The sequence below is a fragment of the Homo sapiens genome, chromosome 12, assembly GCF_000001405.40.
Source record: "Homo sapiens chromosome 12, GRCh38.p14 Primary Assembly".
Taxonomy (NCBI): Eukaryota; Metazoa; Chordata; class Mammalia; order Primates; family Hominidae; genus Homo; species Homo sapiens.
This window is the reverse complement of record NC_000012.12, coordinates 82288192-82314907: the sequence shown is the minus strand read 5'-3', so window position 1 is coordinate 82314907 and position 26716 is coordinate 82288192. Positions and strand designations below refer to the sequence as shown.

The 26716-nt window shown below is 35.5% G+C and overlaps 1 long non-coding RNA gene across 2 annotated transcripts in view, besides 1 other annotated feature; it reads left to right on the top strand.

Annotated features, from left to right (window-relative positions):
• Window positions 279-780: an enhancer, noted in NCBI's record as "H3K4me1 hESC enhancer chr12:82707907-82708408 (GRCh37/hg19 assembly coordinates)". NCBI's record gives its function as "activates a minimal SCP1, AML or CMV promoter by ChIP-STARR-seq in naive H9 embryonic stem cells {active_cell/tissue: H9 hESC(naive)}" and the evidence as "EXISTENCE:reporter gene assay evidence [ECO:0000049][PMID:30033119]".
• Window positions 6593-26716, top strand: part of LOC105369873 (uncharacterized) — a 173421-nt gene continuing 153297 nt past the window's right edge. For both annotated transcript variants that reach the window (XR_001749232.1, XR_945149.4), the window contains exon 1: window positions 6593-6657. This is a non-coding gene — a long non-coding RNA (uncharacterized LOC105369873). The remainder of the gene's footprint in view (window positions 6658-26716) is intronic.

The following is a 26716-nucleotide window of genomic DNA, read 5'->3' as shown; positions in this document are numbered from 1 at the left end:
AGGTACCTGGTTCATCTCATTGGGACTGGTTGGACAGTAGGCGCAGCCCATGGAGGGTGAGCCAAAGCGGGGTGAGGCATTGCCTCACCCAGGAAGTGCAAAGTGTCAGGGGATTTCCCTTTCCTAGCCAAGGCAAGCCGTGACAGACTACCTGGAAAAACTGTACAGTCCCATCCAAATACTGTGTTTTCCCCACAGCCTTAGCAACCAGCAGACCAGGAGATCCTCTCCTGTGTCTGGCTTTGCAGGTCCCACGCCCACAGAGCCTTGTTCACTGCTAGCGCAGCAGTCTGAGATTGACCTGCAAGGCTGCAGCCTGGCGGGAGGAGGGGTGTCTGCCAATGCTGAGGCTTGAGTAGGTAAACAAAGTGGCCGGGAAGCTCAAACTGGGCGGAGCCCAGCTAAGTCCAGCAAGGCCTACTGCCTCTATAGATTCCACCTCTGTGGGCAGGGCATAGCAGAACAAAAGGCAACAGAAACTTCTGCAGACTTAAAAGTCCCTGTCTGACAGCTCTGAAGAGAGACACACATAGGCTCAAAATAAAGGGATAGAGGAAGATCTACCAAGCAAATGGAAAACAAAAAAAAGCAAGGGTTGCAATCCTAGTCTCTGATAAAACAGACTTTAAACCAACAAAGATCAAAAGAGACAAAGAAGCTATTACATAACGGTAAAGGGATCAATTCAACAAGAAGAGCTAACTATCCTAAATATATATGCACCCAATACAGGAGCACCCAGATTCATAAAGCAAGTCCTTAGAGACCTACAAGGAGACTTAGACTCCCACACAATAATAATGGGAGACTTTAACACCCCACTGTCGACATTAGACAGATCAACGAGACAGAAAGTGAACAAGGATATCCAGGAATTGAACTCAGCTCTGCACCAAGCAGACCTAATAGACATCTACAGAACTCTCCACCCCAAATCAACAAAATATACATTCTTGTCAGCACCACATCACACTTATTCCAAAATTGACCGCATAGTTGGAGGTAAAGCACTCCTCAGCAACAAACAAACAAACAAACAAAAAATAAATCACAATAAACTGTCTCTCAGACCACAGTGCAACCAAATTAGAACTCAGGATTAAGAAACTCACTCAAAACTGCACAACTACATGGAAACTGAACAACTGCTCCTGAATGACTACTGGATAAATAACGAAATGAAGGCAGAAATAAAGATGTTCTTTGAAACCAATGAGAACAAAGACACAACATACGAGAATCTCTGGGACACATTTAAAGCAGTGTATAGAGGGAAATTTATAGCACTAAATGCCCGCAAGAAAAAGCAGAAAAGATCTAAATATCAACACCCTAACATAACAATTAAAAGAACTAGAGGAGCAAGAGCAAACAAATTCAAAAGCTAGCAGAAGGCGAAAAATAACTAAGATCAGAGCAGAACTGAAGGAGATAGAGACATAAAAAAACCCCTTCAAAAATTCAACGAATCCAGGAGCTGGTTTCTTGAAAAGATCAACAAAATTGATAGATTGCTAGCAAGACTAACAAAGAAGAAAAGAGAGAAGAATCAAATAGACACAATAAAAAATGATAAAGGGGATATCACCACTGATCCCACAGAAATACAAACTACCATCAGAGAATGCTATAAACACTTCTCCACAAATAAACTAGGAAATCTAGAAAAAATGGATAAATTCCTGGACACATATACCCTCTCAAGACTAAACAAGGAAGAAGTTGAATCTCTGAATACATCAATAACAGCTTCTGAAACTGAGGCAATAATTAACAGCCTACTAGCCAAAAAGTCCAGAACCAGACAGATTAACAGCCGAATTCTACCAGAGGTACAAAGAGGAGCTGGTACCATTCCATCTGAAACTATTCCAATCAATAGAAAAGAGAGGCTCCTCCGTAACTCATTTTATGAGGCCAGCATCATCCTGATACCAAAGCCTGGCAGAGACACAACAAAAAAAGAGAATTTTAGGTTAATATCCCTGATGAACATTGATGCAAAAATCCTCAATAAAATAGTGGCAAACCGAATCCGGCAGCACATCAAAAAGCTTATCCACCACGATCAAGTTGGCTTCATCCCGGGGATGCAAGTCTGGTTCAATATACACAAATCAATAAATGTAATCCATCACATTAACAGAACCAGTGACAAAAACCACATGATTATCTCAATAGATGCAGAAAAGGCCTTTGACAAAATTCAACAGCCCTTCATGCTAAAAACTCTCAATAAACTAGGTATTGATGGAATATATCTCAAAATAATAAGAACTATTTATGACAAACCCACAGCCAATATCATACTGAATGGGCAAAAACTGGAAGCATTCCTTTTCAAAACTGGCACAAGACAGGGATGCCCTCTCTCACCACACCTATTCAACATGGTGTTGGAAGTTCTGGCCAGGGCAATCAGGGAGGACAAAGAAATAAAGGGTATTCAACTGGCAAAAGGGGAAGTCAAATTGTCCCTGTTTGCAGATGACATGATTGTATATTTAGAAAACCCCATCATCTCAGCCCAAAATCTCCTTAAGCTGATAAGCAACTTCAGCAAAGTCTCAGGATACAAAATCAGTGTGCAAAAATCACAAAAATTCCTATACACCAATTACAGACAAACAGCCAAATCATGAGTGAACTCCCATTCACAACTGCTATAAAGAGAATAAAATATCTAGGAATACAACTGACAAGGAATGTGAAGGACCTCTTCAAGGAGAACTACAAACTACTGCTCAATGAAATAAAGAGGACACAAACAAATGGAAGAACATTCCATGCTCATGGATAGGAAGAATCAATATCATGAAAATGGCCATACTGCCGAAGGGAATTTATACATTCAGTGCCATCCCCATCAAGCTACCAATGACTTTCTTCACAGAATTGGAAAAAACTACTTTAAAATTCATATGGAACCAAAAAAGAGCCCACATAGCCAAGACAATCCTAAGCCAAAAGAACAAAGCTGGAGGCATCACGCTACCTGACTTCAAACTACACTACAAGGCTACAGTAACCAAAACAGCATGGTACTGGTACCAAAACTGATATATATACCAATGGAACAGAACAGAGCCCTCAGAAATAACACCACACATGTACAACCACCTGATCTTTGACAAATCTGACAAAAACAAGAAATGGGGAAAGGATTCTTTATTTAATAAATGGTGCTGGGAAAACTGGCCAGCCATATGTAGAAAGCTGAAACTGGATCCCTTCCTTACACCTTACACAAAAATTAATTCAAGATGGATTAAATACTTAAATGTAAGATCTAAAACCATAAAAACCCTAGAAGAAAACCTAGGCAATACCATTCAGGACATAGGCATGGGCAAATACTTCATGTCTATAACAACAAAAGCAATGGCAAAAAAGCCATAATTGACAAATTGGATCTAATTAAACTAAAGAGCTTCTGCACAGCAAAAGAAACTACCATTGGAGTGAACAGGCAACCTACAGAATGGGAGAAAATTTTTGCAATCTACCCATCTGACAAAGGGCTAATATCCAGAATCTACAAGGAACTTAAATTTACAAGAAAAAAAGGAACAACCCCATCAAAAAGTGGGCAAAGGATATGAACGGATGCTTCTCAAAAGAAGACATTTATGCAGCCAACAGACACATGAAAAGACGCTCATCATCACTGGTCATCAGAGAAATGCAAATCAAGGCCACAATTAGATACCATCTCATGCCAGTTAGAATGGCAATCATTAGAAAGTAAGGAAACAACTGACGCTGGAGAGGATGTGGAGAAACGGGAATGCTTTTACACTGTTGATGGGAGTGTAAATTAGTTCAACCATTGTGGAAGACAGTGTGTCAATTCCTCAAGGATCTAGAACTAGAATTACCATTTGACCCAGTGATCCCATTACTAGGTATATACCCAACGGATTATAAATCATGCTACTATAAAGACACATGCACACGTATGTTTATTGTGGCACTAGTCACAATAGCAAAGACATGGAACCAACCTAAATGTCCCTCAATGATAGACTGGATTAAGAAAATGTGGCACGTATACACCATGGAATACTATGCAGTTATAAAAAAGGATGAGTTCATGTTTTTTGCAGGGACATGGATGAAGCTGGAAACCATTGTTCTCAGCAAACTATCACAAGGACAGAAAACCAAACACTGCATGTTCTCACTCATAGGTGGGAATTGAAAGTGAGAACACTTGGACACAGGGCGGGAAACATCACACACTGGGGCCTGTTGGGGGGCGGGGGGCTGGGGGAGGGATAGCATTAGGAGAAATACCTAATGTAAATGACCAGTTGATGGGTGCAGCAAACCAACATGGCACATGTATACCTGTGTAACAAAGCTGCACATTGTGCACATGTACCCTAAAACTTAAAGTATAATGATAAAAAAAGAAATTGATCTATTTCATCTAGGCTATTAAATTTTGGGGCACATAGTTGTTTATAGTATCCTTTATTACCATTTTAATGTCCGTGGGATCTATGATGTACCCTCTTTCAATTCTGATATTAGTAGTTTGTGTCTTCTCTCTCTTTTCTATTTTCTTAGTCTGTCTGGAGGCTTACTGATTACGTTGATCTTTTCTAATATCAATTTGAATTAAAAAACCCACCAGTTATTTACATTGTCTATCTCTATTGATTTCCTGTTTCCAATTTTATTGATCTCTGCCCCAATCATTATTATTTATTTTCTTCTGCTTACTTTAATCTTACTCATCTTTTTGTAGTTTCCTAAGGTGGAAAGCTTTGACTATTGAGTTTTAGATCACTGCTCTTTTCTAATAGATGCATTCAATGCTATAAATTTCTCTCTATGCACTGCTGTGCCCTTACAAATTTTCATACTTTTTTTTCATTTTTTATTCAGCTTAAAAAGTTTACATTCCTCCTGAGATTTCTTCTTTATTTCATTTGTTATTTAGAAGTGTATTGTTTAATTTTTAAGTATTTTGGGATTTTCTGGCTACTTTCTGGTTATTGATTTCTAGTTTAATTCCATTGTGGTATGAGGGCAACTATTGCATAATTTCTATTTTTTTTTTTTTACTTTTAAAGAATTTTTTTAAAAAATATTTTAAATGTTATATTTGTTTAAATTTGTTAAATTGTGCTTTATGGCCTAGAATTTGTTCCCTCTTTGTGAATGTTCCATATGAGCTTGAGAAGAATGTATATTATGCTGTTGTTGGATAAAGTAGTTATTTCAATTATATCCAGGTGATTGATGGTTCTGCTGAGTTTGACTATGTCCTTATTGATTTTCTGCCTGATGCATATGTCCATGTCTAATTAAGGGGTATTAAAGTATTCAATTATGTAATAGTGAATTTGTCTATTTCACTTTGCAAATCTATCATGTATTTTGAGCCTCACATATTTTGATCCTCTGTAGTTAGGTGCATACATATTAAGGGTTGTTTTGTCATCTTGGAGTATTAGTCACCCTATCATTATGTAATGCCATTCTTTATCCCTTATAATTTGTCACTGATAACTTTCCTTGCTCTGAAGACTGTTCTGTCTGTGGTTAATAATGCTACTTCTACTTTCTTTGATTTGTGTTTGCATGGTGTATATTCCTCCATCCCTTTATTCTTAATCTATACGTCTTTATCTTTATAGTGAATTACTTGTATAAACGTAAAGTTGGGTCTTGTTTTGATCCCCTCTGACAATCAATCTCTGTCTTTTAATTGGTGCATTTAGACCACTGACTTTCAAAGTAATTATTGATATAGTTGGATTAATAACTACCATATGTGTTACATTTTCTATTTGTTAACCTTGCTCTTTGTTTCTATTTTTGTCTTTCACTTTTTCCCTGCCTTTTCTTGGTTTTAATCAATTTTCTCACATTTATTCACATATCCATTATACTTATTTTAAAACTCTTTTATTTATTTATTTATTTTTGAGACAGAGTCTCACTCTATCGCTCAGGCTGGAGTGCAGTGGTGGGATCTCGGCTCACTGCAACCTCCGCCTACCGGGTTCAAGTGATTCTCCTGCCTCAGTCTCCTGAGTAGCTGGGATTACAGGTGTGCACCACCACGCCTGGCTCATTTTTGTATTTTTAGTACAGACAGGGTTTCACCATATTGGTCAGGCTGGTCTTGAACTCCTGACCTTGTGATCTGCCCACCTCAGCCTTCCAAAGTGCTGGGATTACAGGCATGAGCCAACGTGCCCAGCCTTAAAACTCTTTAAGTGTTTTCCTTGGAGTTTGCACTGCACATTTACAAGTTATCCAAGTCCATTTTCAACTAATACTGTATCACGTCACAAATAGTGTGATTACCTTATAATAACAAGATATTCTTAATTTCTTCTCCCTGTACCTTTTATCATTGCTGTCATTCATATCTCAAATATTTATGTATCAGCATACATAAGCATATATGTACACATAAAGCATGTACATAAACATACATAATCAAATACACTGCTGCTATTATCATCTTGAACAAACTGTTATCTGATAGATCAATTAAGAATAAGAAAAATAAAAGTTTTTAATTTAACGTTCACTTAATTCCCTTTCTGATGCTCTTCTTTTCTTTATATAGATCTGAGTTTCTGACCTGTACATTTTCATTCTCTCTGAGGAATGTCTTTCAACATTTCTTGCAAGGTAAGTCTATTGGAAACAAATTCCCTCAATTCTTTATTTCTATTTCACTTTTGATGAAAATTTTTCAGGGTAAGGAATTCTAGGTTGTTGTTTCTTTTTTTCCCCCTCCCAACACTAAATATTTCACTCTACTCTCTTCTTACTTGTGTGTTTCCTGAAGAGAAGTTATATGTAATTCTTATCTTTGCTCCTCTGTATGTAAAGGTTGTTTTATTTTTCACCTTTGTCTTTTTTCAAGGTTTTTTCTTTGATATTCTGAAATTTAAATATAATATGCCTATGTATAGTTTTTGTTTTGTTCTGTTTGAATTTACCTGGCTTGATATTTTCTAAGCTTACTGGATTTGTGCTTCAGTGTCTGACTTTAATTTTGGGAAATTTCTGTCATTATTGCTTCAAATATTGTTTCTCTTTCTTTCTTGTTTGCATTTTCATTGCGCATATGTCACACCTATGTAGTTTTTTCATAATTCTGGAATATTATGTTCTATTTTATTAATTTTTTTCTTTGTTTTACAGTTTTTGAAGCTTTTTTTGTTATATCCACAGGCTCAGAGATTCTTTCCTTAGCTCCGTCCAGTCTACTAAGGAGCCCATCAAAGGCATTATTCATTTCTGTTACAGTGTCTTTGACTTCTAACATTTCTTTTTGGTTCTTTCTTAGAATTTCCATTTGTCAGTTTACATTATATGTTGGTTCTCACATGTCAGATTTTTCACCCTTAGCATGTTATTAACATATATAAATATATATAGGTGTATATTTTTAATTCCTTATTTGGTTATTCCAATACTTTTGCCACATCTGACACTAGTCTGATGATTGTTAAATCTCTTCAAACTATAGTTTTTTTTTTTTACCTTTTAGTATGACTTGTAATATTACGTTGAAAGATAGACATGATATACTAGGTTAAAGGAACTCTAGTAAATAGGCATTTAGTGGTGTGATGGTATATTTTAAGGGAAGGGGAAGCATTATATACTCCTATGATTATGTCTCAGACTTCTGATGAACTTGTATTCCTGAACTTTGAACTCCACCAGCGCTTCTAAGTTTTCTTTCTTTTTTTGTGCATGTGTGTTTATAAAAAATTAGTAGTTTTTTCTTTTTTTTTCTTTTTTAAAATTTTTTTAATTATTATTATACTTTAAGTTTTAGGGTACATGTGCACAATGTGCAGGTTAGTTACATATGTATACATGTGCCATGCTGGTGTGCTGCACCCATTAACTCGTCATTTAGCATTAGGTATATCTCCTAATGTTATCCCTCCCCCCTCCCTCCACCCCACAACAGTCCCCAGAGTGTGATGTTCCCCTTCCTGTGTCCATGTGTTCTCATTGTTCAATTCCCGTCTATGAGTGAGAACATGAGTTGTTTGGTTTTTTGTCCTTGCGATAGTTTACTGAGAATGATGCTTTCCAATTTCATCCATGTCCCTACAAAGGACATGAACTAATCATTTTTTATGGCTGCATTGTATTCCATGGTGTATATGTGCCACATTTTCTTAATCCAGTCTATCATTGTTGGACATTTGGCTTGGTTCCAAGTCTTTGCTATTGTGAATAGTGCCACAATAAACATACATGTGCATGTGTCTTTATAGCAGCATGATTTATAGTCCTTTGGGTATATACCCAGTAATGGGATGGCTGGGTCAAATGGTATTTCCAGTTCTAGATCCCTGAGGAATCGCCACACTGACTTCCACAGTGGTTGAACTAGTTTACAGTCCCACCAAAAGTGTAAAAGTGTTCCTATTTCTCCTGTTGTTTCCTGACTTTTTAATGATTGCCATTCTAACTGGTGTGAGATGGTATCTTATTGTGGTTTTGATTTGCATTTCTCTGATGGCCAGGGATGATGAGCATTTTTTCATGTGTCTTTTGGCTGCATAAATGTCTTCTTTTGAGAAGTGTCTCTTCATATCCTTTGCCCACTTTTTGATGGGGTTGTTTGTTTTTTTCTTGTAAATTTGTTTGAGTTCATCATAGATTCTGGATATTAGCCCTTTGTCAGATGAGTAAGTTGTGAAAATTTTCTCCCATTTTGTAGGTTGCCTGTTCACTCTGATGGTAGTTTCTTTTGCTGTGCAGAAGCTCTTTAGTTTAATTAGATCCCATTTGTCAATTTTGGCTTTTGTTGCCATTGCTTTTGGTGTTTTAGACATGAAGTCCTTGCCCATGCCTATGTCCCGAATGGTAATGCCTAGGTTTTTTTCTAGGGTTTTTATGGTTTTAGGTCTGACATTTAAATTTTTAATCCATCTTGAATTAATTTTTGTATAAGGTGTAAGGAAGGGATCCAGTTTCAGCTTTCTACATATGGCTAGCCAGTTTTCCCAGCACCATTTATTACATAGGGAATCCTTTCCCCATTGCTTCTTTTTCTGAGGTTAGTCTAAGATCAGATAGTTGTAGATATGTGGCATTATTTCTGAGGGCTCTGTTCTGTTCCATTGATCTATATCTCTGTTTTGGTACCACTACCATGCTGTTTTGGTTACTGTAGCCTTGTAGTGTAGTTTGAAGTCAGGTAGCGTGATGCCTCCAGCTTTGTTCTTTTGGCTTAGGATTGACTTGGCAATGTGGGCTCTTTTTTGGTTCCATATGAACTTTAAAGTAGTTTTTTCCAATTCTGTGAAGAAAGTCATTGGTAGCTTGATGGGGATGGCATTGAATCTATAAATTACCTTGGGCATTATAGCCATTTTCACGATATTGATTCTTCCTACCCATGAGCATGGAATGTTCTTCCATTTGTTTGTATCCTCTTTTATTTCATGGAGCAGTGGTTTGTAGTTCTCCTTGAAGAGGTCCTTCACGTCCCTTGTAAGTTGGATTCCTAAGTATTTGATTCTCTTTGAAGCAATTGTGAATGGGAGTTCACTCATGATTTGGCTCTCTGTTTGTCTGTTATTGGTGTATAAGAATGCTTGTGATTTTTATACATTGATTTTTGTATCCTGAGACTTTACTGAAGTTGCTTATCAGCTTAAGGAGATTTTGGGCTGAGACAATGGCGTTCTCTAGATATACAATCATGTCGTCTGCAAACAGGGACAGTTTGACTTCCTCTTTTCCTAATTGAATACCCTTTATTTCCTTCTCCTGCGTAATTGCCCTGGCCAGAACTTCCAACACTATGTTGAATAGGAGTGGTGAGAGAGGGCACCCCTGTCTTGTGCCAGTTTTCAAAGGGAATGCTTCCAGTTTTTGCCCATTCAGTATGATATTGGCTGTGGGTTTGTCATAGATAGCTCTTATTATTTTGAGATACATCCCATCAATACCTAACAAACTGTCTCTCAGACCACAGTGCAATCAAACTAGAACTCAGGATTAAGAAACTCACTCAAAAATGCTCAACTACATGAAAACTGAACAACCTGCTCTTGAATGACTACTGGATACATAACGAAATGAAGGCAGAAATAAAGATGTTCTTTGAAACCAACGAGAACAAAGACACAACATACCAGAACCTGTGGGACACATTCAAAGCAGTGTGTAGAGGGAAATTTATAGCACTAAATGCCCACAAGAGAAAGCAGGAAAGATCCAAAATTGACACCCTAACATCACAATTAAAAGAACTAGAAAAGCAAGAGCAAACACATTCAAAAGCTAGCAGAAGGCAAGAAATAACTAAAATGAGAGCAGAACTGAAGGAAATAGAGACAAAAAAAAACCCTTCAAAAAATTAATGAATCCAGGAGCTGGTTTTTTGAAAGGATCAACAAAATTGATAGACCGCTAGCAAGACTAATAAAGAAAAAAAGAGAGAAGTATCAAATAGACACAATAAAAAATGATAAAGGGGATATCACCACCGATCCCACAGAAATACAAACTACCATCAGAGAATACTACAAACACCTCTACGCAAATAAACTGGAAAATCTAGAAGAAACGGATAAATTCCTCGACACATACATTCTCCCAAGACTTAACCAGGAAGAAGTTGAATCTCTGAATAGACCAATAACAGGCTCTGCAATTGTGGCAATAATCAATAGCTTACCAACCAAAAAGAGTCCAGGACCAGATGGATTCACAGCCGAATTCTACCAGAGGTACAAGGAGGAACTGGTACCATTCCTCTGAAACTATTCCAGTCAATAGAAAAAGAGGGAATCCTCCCTAACTCATTTTATGAGGCCAGCATCATCCTGATACCAAAGCCTGGCAGAGACACAACAAAAAAAGAGAATTTTAGACCAATATACTTGATGAACATTGATGCAAAAATCCTCAATAAAATATTGGCAAACCGAATCCGGCAGCACATCAAAAAGCTTATCCACCATGATCAAGTGGGCTTCATCCCTGGGATGAAAGCCTGGTTCAATATATGCAAATCAATAAATGTAATCCAGCATATAAACAGAACCAAAGACAAAAACCACATGATTATCTCAATAGATGCAGAAAAGGCCTTTGACAAAATTCAACAACGCTTCATGCTAAAAACTCTCACTAAATTAGGTATTGATGGGATGTATCTAAGTTTTCTTTCTTGCTTAGGTAGGACAGGATGGCTACAGTGGACTGAAGTTGGGTATTTCCTTTCCTCCTGGTATGTTAGACTCTGATAAAACTCCACCATGTTAGCCTGTAGTAAAATAGTTTATCATGAGGACAGGCCTTGTTAAGAAGAACAGAATGCTCTGTTGTATTTTTTAAATGGTTACTTTTTCCCTCCCTCTTCTGGAAGCATACGAGAATTTTTCTCCAATATTTATTGTGAGGACTTGGTAGAGTTTCTAGAGGTAAAACTCACAAAAGGGAGAGGGCACCTTTGTGACTGCGTCCTTCTGGAGTTTTTAACACTCAGAGTTGTCCATAGTCAACCTCCAGGTATTTGTCAATTAGAGTTCAAGTTTTCCTATCCCGGCACTGGTTCTCATGGACATTTCTTCTGTGTAGTTCCTGCTTAATAAGTTGTGATTCTCCACTTCTATTTGTCTGTCTCTACAATTTTGGGGGCAGTGGTTTGCCCTGTGATCTCACTTCTCTGACAGATCTAAGAAGAGCTGTTAATTTTTCAGTTTGTTCAGCTTTTTACTTATTGTTATGATGTAGTGCTGACTACCAAACTCCTTTCCAGTGTTCTTTTCATTATTGCTACAAATCTTCTTGGAGTGTAGATTTCATCATTACCTATTTTATCTGTGTGTGTGTGTTCAAATTAGCAATAAAAAATTTGCTATGTTTGGAACAAACAGGTTTGGTTTTGTTTTGTTTTGAGATGGAATCTCGCTCTCTCGCCAGACTGGAGTGCTCCAGTTGCAACCTAAATTTTTAAAGCTTTTCACACCTTCATGAAAGGCTTTCACTGTGTTCCTGGTTCATCATGATGTTGCCTAGATCACCATGGAAGGATATTTTCCATGGACCAGAGCTGACAACAGAAGCAAGAATGAACCAAACACCTTTCAGTTGCCCAAGAGACTAGACTGTATTAGAAAGTTCCACATTATTATATGTTTTTTAATTGGATGTGAAAGCATATCAGAAGAGATTGAAAATCATCCCAAGTTGATTTAAAAATAACAAAGCCTCAAGAATAGTCAATTAATGGTGAGTTGTTTATTCTTTTCAATTGCTTTAATCATTGTAGAAAAGAAAAGCAATTTTTAAAGAAAAAAATAACGTTTGAGAAATGATAAATATGGGGAAAAAATAAAAAGAAGAAACTAAAATGTATTTTGTTATCCAAGACCTGGGGAGAGAAGCTATTGACTGCTGAGTTCAATTAAGTTTCAGAGAAGAAAGTCAGAATTAGCAAATCCTTAACAGGCCACTCTGGCAGGAAATTAATTTTTGATTAAATAACATGATTAAAGAGTGAGGGAGTTTAATTCATAGGGATATATTGGATGACTTCCAAATATATTACTTCTTTCTAATAATTAAAGAGTAACTTAAAATGGCATTAAATCATATTTTAAACAGCATAATAATAACAACTTAAGATTGGCAGCAGCAGCTAGTAATCTCTGTTTAATACTTAAATACTAGGTTGGGTTTGGCAATGTAATCATACTAGTGATTTTAAAAAAACTTTTGTTCGGGCTGGGCGCAGTGGCTCACGCCTGTAATTCCAGCACTTTGGGAGGCTGAGGCGGGCGGATCATGAGGTCAAGAGATTGAGACCATCCTGGCCAACATCTCTACTAAAAATAGAAAAATTAGCTGGATGTGGTGGCAAACGTCTGTAGTCCCAGCTACTTGGGAGGCTGAGGCAGGAGAATGGCTGGAACCCGGGAGGCAGAGGTTGTAGTGAGCCGAGATTGTGCCACTACACTCCAGCCTGGCTACAGAGTGAGACTCCTTCTCAAAAAAAAAAAAAAAAAATTGATATGTTTAGAGTTGGTATGCATTCTTTCCTCTGGCATTGTCCTTAGTCATACTATTGCTTGTATAATAAATATAAATTTTAAGTCTATTTAAAGTGTTTTTTGTAAATCTCTTCTTAAAGTTTAATTAAGTAAAATTGAATTCCAGAAATTAATCCTATCTTAATTCTTTTTGCCAATCAATAATTAGTAATGAAACTCATATTCCTTATTTAAAATGACAAATAAGTGTTGAAGGACAAATGAGAGCATCTACACCAAAGTCTGCAAATATGATATTGTAATTCATAAGTAAGCAGTAGATTCAAACTTTTTTGGGTTAATAGCATGAATCATAACCTCAAAAAAATTGGCATAATATAACCCAAACATCATAATATTAAGGTGTTCAGGGAGCATCTCATGGGACTCCATGTTAAGACCACTTTAAAACAAGCATTTCCACTCTTGTCCTCTAAGACAGGTGACAGAAGTAAGAATATTGGAAATATGTTAAAGACAAAGTGTACCACAAAAATTATAACAGAAATATACTCTTAATATCTTTAAAATTTAAAGATAATCAAAATCATAAGATAAAGACTCCAATAGGTAAGTGATGACTCTGATTTCATAATAAATAAAAGAAGAAACAGTGAAGTAAAACATGGAAAAATGTTTATTTTTTATACCGGGGCTGGGACTACGGTAAAGCAAGCAAGATACCTAGGACACAAAATATAAAAAGGGAGTCTCTCTCTAGGTCATGTTTGTTCAGAGTCGGCACACAAGGATGAGTACCTCCTTACATTTTGCCCCTTCGATGCTTCACTTGCGTCACTCTAGTCCCAGCTCTGCTTTGCACTAATCAAAGAAATTCAGATTACAGGTGGGCTAATCAGTCTACCCCTACTCCTGGTATTCATGGCTTTGTATATGGTATTCATAAACACATGCCATTCCATGATCATTAGAATATGCCTAAAGCGATGGCATGTGATAATTAGGCTACTGCCTTACTCTCACTTCTTGGGGAAGCTCTCACTCTGAGGGAAGCCAGATGCCGTTTTGTAAGGTCACACAAACAGCTCTATGCAGAAGTCTAAGAGATAAGGAAGTGAAGTCTCTTGCCAACAGCCATGAAGGAGCCATTGTGGAAGCAGATATTTTAGCTGCTGTCATGCTTTCAGATAACTGTAGCCTCAGCCAACATCTTAATTACAACCTCATTAAGAAACCCTAAGCCGTAATTTTTTATTTTGGCTACTCTTGAATTCCTAATGCAAATAAGCTTATAGATAATAAATGCTTATCATTTTAAGCATTAAGCCATTCTATCATTTGTACGTAAAGAGAAAGAAATTCTGTGTTGGTGTTACAGACTTGTCTTAGCACAATGGTTACAAATACAGACCCTTGAGCCAAACTGTCTCACTTTGAATTTTGGATTTGTTGCTTATTAGCCGTGTGTCCTGTGGAAAATTTCTGAACTTATTTGTATTTTACATTCTTCATCTATCTGTAATTAGGAAAAATAATAGTACCTCTGCTTCAGGACTGATGGGAAAAATTAAGAAAGTGAATGCATATAAAGTATCTACCAATTAATATACATTATACGTGTGTTTTATACAGTTAATTTTTCTGTGCTTATTTCTCATGCAGACATGTGTATTGTCACCAAAGAGTGAAGCACAGCTTTCTTTATGGGCAAATATATTTCACTAATACCTTCTTCACTAATACCTCAGATAGATGTGCATGGCTCTTGAAAAAGTATTTTGTATATTCAGAGGAGGAGAAGTGGGATTTCTCCCACTTTGGTTTTAGGTGGGGAAAATTTTCTAGATTAAGTACAGGAAAATTTTATTTTATGGTTATTTCCTTCTTGCCATATTAGAAATGCTCCCAGTTTTATTGTCCAAATATTTAATGCCTACAACATTTGCCATGCACTTCCCTGGAAATGAATCTTTTCTTCTCTCACATTCATTTTTCGTGTGAGTGTGTGTGACCTACATGCATTCTTTTCTCTTTAAAGGAATGTTTTTACTGCTCTGCAGACATCAAGTAGCCTGAGCTGGAGGTTACCATGGTGATATGGTCATACACGATGACTTCAAGTCTATATCTTGCTGAGTGGTTTTCAGGGAGAATTGAGGATTGTTGTCTTTTGCTGATAGACTCTACTTAAACTTGACCTTCTCTGCCATTTCTTCTAAGAATAATTAAATAATCTTGGTGTTAGTGGATGTCCAGGATGGCTGTTTTCAAAAGTATAAAGTAGGTAACATTTATAATCTTTACACTTTCCTTTTCTTGTAACCTTTCCCCAGCAACAGTATTATTCATTTTCTCTAGGCATTTGATGACCTAATATTACCTCAGACCTTTTTAACAAGAAATATGTGAATCTATTAATCCCATTTATACTGTGATTTAAAAATCAAAATCATATCACTATATTTGAGTTGCATTATGTAGACTCACCTCAGAAATCATGACTGTACAGTGAGTTACTTTAGAGAAAAAAAATTTGGGGGTAAGTGACACTGGTGGTAGAAATCTCTGTGTCAAAAATAGGCAATAAATTATTTTTAGTTTACAACTACCATCATGCATTGCTTGATGACAGATACACAGCCTGAGAAATGTGTTGTTAGGTGATCTAGTCATCATCCTAACAAAATAAAGTGCACTTACAAAAACCTAGATAGTCTAGGCTATGCTACACACCTAGGCTATTAGGCATAGCCTATTTCTCCTAGGTTACAAATCTGTACACCATGTCACTCTACTGAACACTGTAGGCAGATGGAACACAGTAGTAAGAATTTATGTGTCTAAACATATCTAAACATACAAAAGGTCTGGTAAGAATATGTTGTTACAATCTTATGGGACCACTGTTGTACATGCTGTATATATGGTCTGTCATTGATCAAAATGTCATTATGCAATGCTTGACTGTATAAAACATATAACTAGTTTTCAAATTATTCCCAGTATATACATATATATATCAGAACAACCAAATATATCCATTTCTACTCAAAACAGAACAGTTTTTTCTCTGTCCCAAACACTTACTCGACTTGAAAATGGCTTCAGTTTAATTATCTTTTCTTAGTAAGTATTGTTTACATTAAAACTTTTTTGAATTGTCTAACGTAGTTCTTTAGAGTTTCTCAAAGTTTTGTTACCAGATTATATATCAAGTTGGGAATCAAATTTTTTTAAAAATGCAATTACATTTCAATAATGAAGAAAACAGAAATAAATATTGCCAATAATTATCTTGTAACATAAATAGATTTGAATATTACAATAGTTCTTATTATGTGTATCAGTCATTTTTCTCTCATCTAACATTTACCACCAAGTATTTACTTAGCTTTTCATGTGTTCATTTGTGTCCTCATATAAAGGCACAACTTCTTGATTTTAGGAATCATGCCTAATATTTTGTTGTTTGTTTCCAGATAACACTTAATTAGCAATTTAGTAAACATTAATTGAATGGAAAATTTGTTTAGAAACAATTAAAGTATGAAAAGTTTCAGGGAAAGTGATTTCTCATCTTTTTTTTTTTGTTAGTTTGGCACTAGTTCTTCAAGTTTTATTTCTTCTTTGGTAAAGAGGGATAATGTGTTTATTTATGTACTTAACAAATTCTAACTGAGTACTAGGGTCTGTTCTTTGAGATGTGAACCTAGGTCAGAAGAACTCTACTTTTATGAAGCTTGCATTAGTGAGAGGAAACAAACAAATAAATAAGCACTTACACAATATATAATTCCAATGAATATAAAGAACTTCATGATACAGTGACTGTGGAGCTATGTTAGTAGACTCATCCTCTCTGAAGAGGTGACGAAGAACCAGAAATAGCTAGGTGCATGCAAACCAGAAGCAGTATTAGTTAGGGCAAACTTAAGTATGTTGAGTTTTAAGATAAAAAGAAGGCCAATGTTGCTGAAGTATAAAGGACAACTAATTAGAGAAGAGGCTAATTAGATAATGTCAAAGAAAGAGACTATGGAGTGTTCTTTGTAAACTGGGGTAAAGAATTTGGATTTTTTTTTAAAGTACAATGGGAATCCATTGGAAGTTTTTAAGGAAGAATGAAACAAAATCTAATTTACATTTTTAACAGTTTTTAAAGTACTAGGTTATGAGGTAGGGAGAAATTGGACAGCTAAGTCTGAAATATTTACTTGACATTCATGTCCAGATATCAGGTGGAAAGTTGTTGTCTAGGACTCCAGACAGGTTCTAGGTCAGGGCTGGAGCCCTTGATATTTAGTTGGTATTTAAAGCCATGAATCCTATGAGATAAGCTAGAAATATTACCTTGTGGGAACATTGAGAGTGACTTAAAACAGAGCCTCAAAGCATCCAGCTTTTAGCAGTTTAGTAGAGAAGAAAAGATCATAAAGGAGCAGTGTAGCAAGACAGAGCAAAGAATAAGATAAGAGGCAAGAGGAGAGAATAAAGTTAATACGGTAGGCAGACAGAAGCATAAGTAAGATATAAACAGAAAGGTGAACATGAGATTTGGTTTCACAGAAGTTGTTGGTGGCTTTGACATAAACAATACCAAATGGAGTAATGAGGACAAAACCAGACTAGAGTGAGTTTTCCTATGGCACTATGAAAACAATGAAAAGATCAAAATGTGATGTGTGCCTCATAACGTATGTAGTAGTAATAGGACTGCTAATTGAATAAAAACAGCAATTATGTAATGGGTGTTAGCTTTCCATCTGACATTTTGCTAAGCACTTTTCATGTATTATTTTATTTAATCCTTATAATAGCACTTTAAAATCAACATTATTATGTATCATCATTTTAGAGATAAGGAAATAGACATCTTTCCAAGGTCACATTGCTTTGTCACAAGCATAAGAGTTACAGAATCAGTCTTAATCTAAAGAAATAAAAGGAGCAGATAATTATTGTGTATATTTATTTTTTATAAAATTTTGTTTTTTAAAGTAGCATTTCACTTATGCTAAGTTCTGTTTTTAGAGTTTATTTGCATAATTGAATCACAGAAAAGTGATAATCTCCTCAGCAAGATAAACAATTGATGGCTACCGAATGAATGTGATGTTTCTGATTTTTTAGTTCTAAAATTCAAACCTGGAGGACTTAAAAATATCTCTAAAATGTATTTGTGTCAAAACTTACAGACATAAAGAATGTATTTCGGACTGAGAGAAAAAGTATAAATAGCTTCTTACTTAATTCCTTTTTTTCTGAGAATTACAGTAAAATAGCTAGAATCATCTATATTTAACCAGTTAAGATTCTTGAAATCAACATGAGTGATTTTAAGAATAATCAGGCTAAAAACACTTATAACTTGTAAAAAATGTATCTTAAAATGGAAGTGTGCTGTAATAATAGATTGTGTTGTGCTAATTAATGTAAAATAATTGGCTACTTATACTAATTTCAGAAAGATTATAGAATGAAACATTAAAACAAACACAATAGAAAATGTAGTCTTTTAAAAAATAATATAGGATTGAGGGCGACATGAAAGAAAATAAGAAAGTATTGACAGATTTGACTAAACAATTTTCTTCTTAAATCACCATACAAAAGTTAAAAAATAAGTGAATAACTGGGGAAAATGTGTATAGCATATATAAAAGACAAATGGATATTATCTACATGAATAGCCTTTGCAAATAAATGAAAGAAAAATGAGCAGTCCAACAAAAATAAAGCACAAATATGAACAGGCAATTCACAGTAGGCATGATGTCCAAAGAACTTATTAAAAGATGTTCAATCTCAGCAATAATGCAAAGGATATATTTGAAACAATGTTGAAGTAGTTGACTCCACTCCGTTTAACAAAAAGAAAGAAAAGGAAATTACTAATAATAACTAGTATTTGCCAGGGTGTGGGGACACAGACACTTTCAAACTTTGTAAGCAGGAGTGGCAAACATTTGTTTTAGGGGAATTTTCAGAAAAATCTCCAATTAATGAAAGCTGAGTAATTTCTTTTCTTCTAATGGGACTGGATAATACGAGTCCTACAGATATCAATTGTAAATGAGGTATTCCAGTTGTCACCGGAATGGAGTGCTTCTTCTCCAAGGTAGAGGTTCTCACTCTGGCTGCACATGAGAAACACATGGATATCATTTAGACAATACCAACGCTGGATACCTCCAACCAATCAGCTCAAAATCTCTGGAACTGGAGCATAGATATTGCTAATTTTTAGCATACTCCCAGGGGATTCTAACGAGCACAAGGTTGAGATCTCTGTCATTATTATCCTCACCTTTCCTATTAGGGAGAGTAAAAAATGTATCTAAAGCCCATTCTTGAGCCTCTAGTGTTCAGCAAACTTGCTAACTAAACTTAATGGAGAGAAAAGTATTTTATTTCTCAGCTGAGCATGTATAAAGAGATTTTGCTTAAATAGAGGCCTACAGGGAAAAACCCTGAGAGGCTGGCTACATTTCATTGTTGACATTGATCTCTGTCCAGGGAAAATGATCATGGACCAAAGCATCTCTCCTTCCTTCCTTCCTTTTTTTTTTTTTTTTTTTTTAGATGGAGTCTCACTCTATCACCAGGCTGGAGTGCAGTGACGCCATCTCGACTCACTGCAGCCTCCGCCTCCTGGGTTACAGCCATTCTCCTGCCCCAGCCTCCCAAGCAGCTGGGACCACAGGCATGTACCACCATGCCTAACTAATTTTTGTATTTTTAGTAGAGACAGGGTTTCACTATGTTGGCCAGGATGGTCTTGATCTCTTGACATCGTGGTCCACCCGCCTCAGCCTCCCAAAGTGCTGGAATTACAGGTGTGAGCCACCATGCCCGGCCCCTTATTTTTCCTTATTTACCTTTTAATATGTCTGGAATTTAGGACTCTTCAAAGGAGTACACTCTCACCTTCAGGGACAAGACTAAAATCAGAGTGGATAATATTCAAACATTTTAGGTACTCTATGTTTAATCAGGACTAAAAGGCAGATGAAGGCATTTAATTTCATTTTGTTCCTCTGTGCCTTGCAATTTCCTTTTCATTGCAATTATGAGAATCACAATATGATCCATCTGAGAGAGAGGCTGACTCAATTATGGCAGTCTCCAAAACAATATAGTTACAGTCTATTTGAAGACATTTTGGCAATAACTGCTTTAAAATTTTATATACCCTTTATGCTAGCATTTCCACTCCTAGAAATTTATTCTACAGACCTCTCACAATTGAAAAGAATTCTTGTTCAAGGCAATTCACTGCAGCATTGCTTGCAATACCAGAACTTGGAAAGAAATTATACAGCTATTAAAAATAATGAGAAAGATGTCCATGTATTGATTTTGAAAGATATCCAGGCTATGTTGACCAATGAAAAGAATAAGTACATTTTTGTGATTTCTAAAGTATCAATTTAATTATGTTCTCCCAACTCTTTTCATGAATGGTTTCAGGTTATAGTTGGTCAAAAGAGTAATTTGCTTGAGATCTGGAAAGCAGAAGCAAGCAATGGCTTCATTTTCTTATGGTCATCATGGTTATCTGAAATGACAGACAAATATAGAGGTGCCTGTTGGGCTTTAGCTTTTCCCTATGCATCTCAACTATGTGTCAAGCTCTTCTTTTGGACTCCTGGCCTTGCTGACCGTCAGTCTCAGACCCAGACAAGAGGTACACAAATGCTGGCAAGTTTCTGCTTGGCTTTGTTCCAGTGTCTGTCTAGTTCTTCTCTCCAATTGCAGGCCCTAGTGACCATCCGTGGCCCGAAGTTCATCACCAGATAATTACATGGGAACCCATAAAGATAACACCTTCCTGTAGGTATCTCCACCCACTCCTCTTTTATGATCCTTTTTTGGTGGTTGAATCTATGTGGCATCTCAGATTGACTGTGGATGACACCTCTGATCCTCCAACCTCCCTTTTCAGACTTTAATTTTCAAGCTTCTCCCACAATTGTTTAAGGTCTCATTCCTACAAAAAAAAATTCTTATTCTGTAACTATTCTACAACTTATTCTATAACTGTAATATTAACTATTAGTGATTCACTGATTGTGTCCTGACTGACACAGTTATTGGGACTGGGGTATATAATCTCCATATGTAGCTTTCAATAATTCCTCCCTTTGTTGTACATGCACAGACTCGAAGAAATTTGGTCTCCTTTCTCTTTCCTTGAGCCTGCGCTGGACTATCACTTGCTTAAACTAATTGAATACAGTGGAAGTAATATTCTTGGATTTCTACTCTAGACCTTAAAAGATACTACAACTTTTATTCCTTCTTCTTGGATCTCAGCAGCCATGATGTAAAGAAGTCCAGGCTAGATGATTTGATAATTAGAAGTAATATAGAAAGACACCTGATGCATGAGAAATCCACTTAGTACATTTGGTTAGTACGTTGGGACCTCCCAGCTGGCTGCAGCTAGCTACATATGAGTGAATCCAGCTACAATCATGTATAGTAGAATAACCACTCAACTGAGCATTGCCTGAGTTCTTGATCCATAGTCATGAAAAATAACAAATCATTGTTAAATTAATTTTTAAGCCACTACATTTTCAGTTGGTTTGTTACACAACCATAGATACATCCATTCATACACTCATTCATCCAGCACCTATAACATCAGGCATCATTGTATATACTGAGCACACAGTGCTGAACGAGATAGATAAGGTCCTTTTGTTTTGCAGATTACATTTTAGTGGAGATAAGTAAAGAAAATTATTTCAGGCAGTGAAAAGGAATTTAAATTTTTGTTGAGCTAGAGTTGGTTGAGTGGAAAAGACCATCTTTGATTAATGCTGAAGGAAGACTTCTCTGAGGAGATGCCCTCTGAGTTGAGATCTGGAGAATAAGGCTCTCATTCTGCAATGAATTGGAAGGTTTCAGACAGAGAAAATTGCAAAGTAAATGGGAATATTTCCCGAACAGAAGTAAAAATCATATGGCTGATATGCAGTGAGGAAGGGGAGATGAAGTTCTTTAGTAATCTCTTTAACATCTTATTATCCATATTAAAATGCTTTGATTTTATTCTAAAGTTTAAAACTATTAGGCACACTATAGACTTATTTAAAACATATTCAAGCATATGAATAAAGTGAGTTGGAATATGTAACAAATTCTTGACAGTAGTTGTTTCTGAGGGGCAGTTTTAAGAGGAATTTTTACTTTTAAAGGCATATTTTCATGATGTTTCAATGTTGTATAAATGTGGAACAGACTTTTTCCTCAAAATTTTATTCTCTCCTTTTATATTAATAGGATTATCATCATGAACATGTTGAGACTATATATTTCTAACTCCCTTGTGGACAAAGTATAGTTATGCAGCTAAATATGTGAATGGAAATGAAATGTGTTATTCTCATCTGAGGCTTTTACAGAGTGAGTAGGTCTCTTCCATGATTTCTTTTCCCTAGTTTTGGCTGCTTGCGGAGGCTGATGAGAATGATAAAGCCATAAGATGGGAGGAAATTCAGTTCAGATTTATTGCACGGAGGAGAGCCACGCTGATATATATGAGCCAAAAATAAATGTTAGTCCCCTGAAATTTTGGAATTTGTTACCATAGCTTAGTCTAACCTAACTAAGACAATGAATATATGCATTACTTTTGTAATCTGAAGAAAAAAAGATTAAAAAGATTTCATTTAATGTAATAATTTCTATTGTACTTCAAGTCAAGCCTGAAGCCCTCAAAAGCTTTTCTGCAAATAGGTCAAAGAATTAGTTGGAGTACTAGAGCAAGCATTTAAGCGTTTTTGTGAAACAATATTTAATGCTGCTGGTGACTCTGATCTTACAGTCTATAGTAGATACATAAGGATTCTTGATATTCCTACTCCATTACCTTATATGTCAAGAAGCTTCTACTTGTTTGTATCAAGGACTTAGGAAGTAGCATTAGATTATACCTTTTCAAACCAGATTTCACTCAGTGTATCACCAAAATGTGGTAAAATATACATTTGTTACATTGTCAGCTTTTGAGACCACTATTAGATTAAACTGAGAGAAACGCTCTTACTATTCAAATTAAGTAACTTGTGCTCTAAAGATCAAACATTTCTAACTATATTACTATGAACCTGGTACTATCTCTATTTACAACCTCTTATTAGCATCTGTAGCATCTATGCAGAGAACTTGAGGACATAATCTAAGTCTGCATGCCCATTTAGAAAACAATTTATTTAAGGTCAGGAAAATTGTAAAGATAATTCAAAAACAATTCTAGAGGTCAGGCAAAACTTGAAGTTTATTCTCCCTTTAATTTATAGTCTTTCTATCAGGCCCACCTAAAATGTGAAAGCCTTTTCTAACACCTGTCTGATTGCCTTTGGTAAAGTGCAACAAGCTATGCCTCTTTGTTCATTGTATGGAATTAAAAATATACATCCCCTATTGCTAACCTAATATTTCTGAAAATCACCTAATCTAGCTCTGTTACTTGTTAAAAAAATGTAAACATTGCTGTGTTGTTACCTCTAATATTAAAAACTTCATTTTAAAAATCCCGACAATTTAGCAAATTGTTGTATATCTATATAATGAAACATAAACACCATGAGAAATGTATAGTTTGAACACTATAACAACCTAGAAATATTTTGTATTAACTTAAAATAACCAATAGACTAAAAATTATATTTGCAATGCTGTGAGTAAAACTATGTATAATATTGTAATCATGTGGCTAAAGAGAAGAAAACATAATTTAAAGGCTTGATTTATTAGGATGGCAAAACTGTGGGTTGACATTTGTTCCTTTTTATGTTTTATTAATCGTGCTATAATGTTTATGCATTAGGTAATTCATTTACGCAAAGTCATTCTTCATTTAATCATACAGAATTATTAAGGACCTACTTTATCCTAGGTTCTTTTTTGGTAGTTGGGAATATAATGGTTCAGAAGACTAACAAACTCACTGCATTAATAAAACTTGCATTCTATTGAGGGAGACATAGAGTCAACAAATATGTGACATAGCTTGCTGTATAATTTGGGTCTTCTAGAAAGAACACACTAAAATCGAGGGTAAAATTTTAAAATTTTGTTGGAGTGCAAACCAGTGAAACCAATGAAGGGGAAAAACAGGCAGTGGGAATGAACAGAGGTCAGTTATGATGCTGTAATTGACAATGTATCTGGCAGTCCACAGAAGCACTCCAGAACAAAAAAATATCCATTAGAAATGGCTAGGTCTCTGTAGTAACACATTTCTCAGCCATTAGCTGATGTCACACAGAACAGAGTATCACCTATACTCGTGGAGTTAATGGCTGAGAACTGTCAGAAAACGCCATTGCTCATTTCTAGGCAGCAGATTATTTCTTGGAAGTGGGTCTGAGAGCAACATGTCTTTGTTCACTACATTTGTTATAGATGAAAATAAGGTAAGAAGAGAAAGTGATATGGGAAGTTTATTTTAAATAAGATGATGCAAAAGGCCATTGATAATATGATAGTTGAGCAGAGACTTGGAAGTTAGCTTTAGTCCACATGAAAATCTGGGCAAGGTCATTCTGGGAGAGGAGACAGAAAATAAGAATGTGATAACCTGGGAACAAGCCATGGCTGAAGTGAAGAAAATTAGTAGAAAGAGATAGGAGATGAGATTGTGAAGATAGACTAGGAACATAAGGGCTACGGTTAGGATATTTTCTGAGTATTATGGATGGCCCATGGAAACTTTGAACTAGAGAGTATCATAATCTGTTGTACATTTTTATAAAATTCACACTGGAGGATTGTGCCTTTCAGTAGAGTGTTAGTGGTAGGGCCATCAGAAGAGGTAGGAATCAGACATATATTCAAACCATACCTTTCTGATGAGTTGGATATAGAAAATGAGGGAAAGAGAGAAGTAAAGGATGGTTCCAGAGCTTATGACCTGAGGAAATGTACAGATAAAGGGGAAGAATTGAGTGAGGAACAGGTTTGTGATCCTGATGGGGAGATAGAATTCTGTTTTGGATATGTTAAATTTAAGGTGATCATAAGATTCTTTGTTGACATGTAAACAGTTAATGTGATATGGGTTTCTTAAAAGTCACAGGACAAGTAGAGTAACAATTCAGTTTAGGACTCACTAATGTACAGATGACATTTATTGCTACAGATTTGGATGAGATCACCTATAAAAGTGAGTATAAATAGAGAAGTATATCCTTGATTAAGCCCTAAGGCACTCCAAAATCTAAAAGTAGGTATGAAGAGGAGGAGGTAGCAAAGGAGATGGTGAAGGAGCAGTCAGAAAGGCAGGAAGAACATTAGAAGATGTGGTGTCCTGGAAAGCCAACTATTAAAATAAAAGGAGGAGAGGGAATAATCATCAATGTCAAATGCTTCTAATAAGTCATCTAAGATGAGGACTTGGTGTTGACTTTTGGAAACGGTAAAATGGAAGTCAATATTGATAGGAGAAATTTCATTGGAATAGAAGGGATGAAAGCCTTTTTGGAAAGCAAGGGTAAGGAAAAGGGAATTCGAGCCTGAGAAAAGAGAGGCAATATAAGTGTCTGTGTGTATGTGTGAGTGTGTTTACATTTTATCCCTAGAATAGGTTGATTTTTAAAAGGTACAATATATTTTGTTTTTTGTACTATATTCATCATATTCATATATCATACAGATGAGGGATCTGAGTTATAGTCGAGAGAGCTAGTAAAGCTAGTTGAATTTTATGGTGCTATAGTTAGAATATAGATAGTGGTAACCTCTTTATAAACACTGTGTTTTGGAAAAAGAGTTCAAAAAGTTTTGGTAATACAGAAGTTTCTACCTTCGATACCTAGAGCTAAATATATCAATAATCAATATAAATTAAAAACATCTTTTGAGTTTGGAGCAACATCCAATTTGCTTTGGATCTTTGCATCTACAATTAAACCAGTAAAGGAGAAATTGATTGGTAGTTATGTTATAGTAATTGCTTTGAGTTCATACATACCATTATTATTAGATGGTTTCCATACAAATTATCTCACTTTATATGAAAAATGATCCTATGAATGTCCTTTAGAGATGAGAATACTGAGGCTCTGAGCTTTAGGTAACTTGTGCAAAATCACGTAGCTAATTTCACACATGAAATTTGATTGCAAGTCTGACAGTTAGCTCTAGCTTATTCTAGTATGCAGTGCTACTTATTGCTTTAAAATTACCAAACAGCTTAAAAGAGGCAATTATTTATGCTCTGTGAGACATCAATCAAAACTTCTATGTACTTCAGAATGGATTCCAATTTAATAATTAAAAATCCAGGAATTATACATGTAAATTGAAGTCAAATTGTTTTTCAAGATAGAGGGTCGTTGGCTAACCAACTACATAACAGTTGATTTAATTAGTAGAAATGAATATCATGTTAAAAATCTTTTCAGGATTATTTATATTCTATATATGTTTGTATGTTTTTAGCATAGAAACATACTTGATGTTTCCTTTTTTGAAGACATTCAATTATATAGCTGTTAACATCTTTAAAACCAATATATGTACAATATACAATTATGAAATTGTATATAATTTTTTATCTTCCCTGTCTGGGGAAGAATAGATTTGAAATTGGTATTTGAAATATTGATGATAATGGAACATGTTAACATATTTGATATTGATGGATAATGCAAAGATTAACATATTTATTTATGACAGTCTATAAAATAGTGATC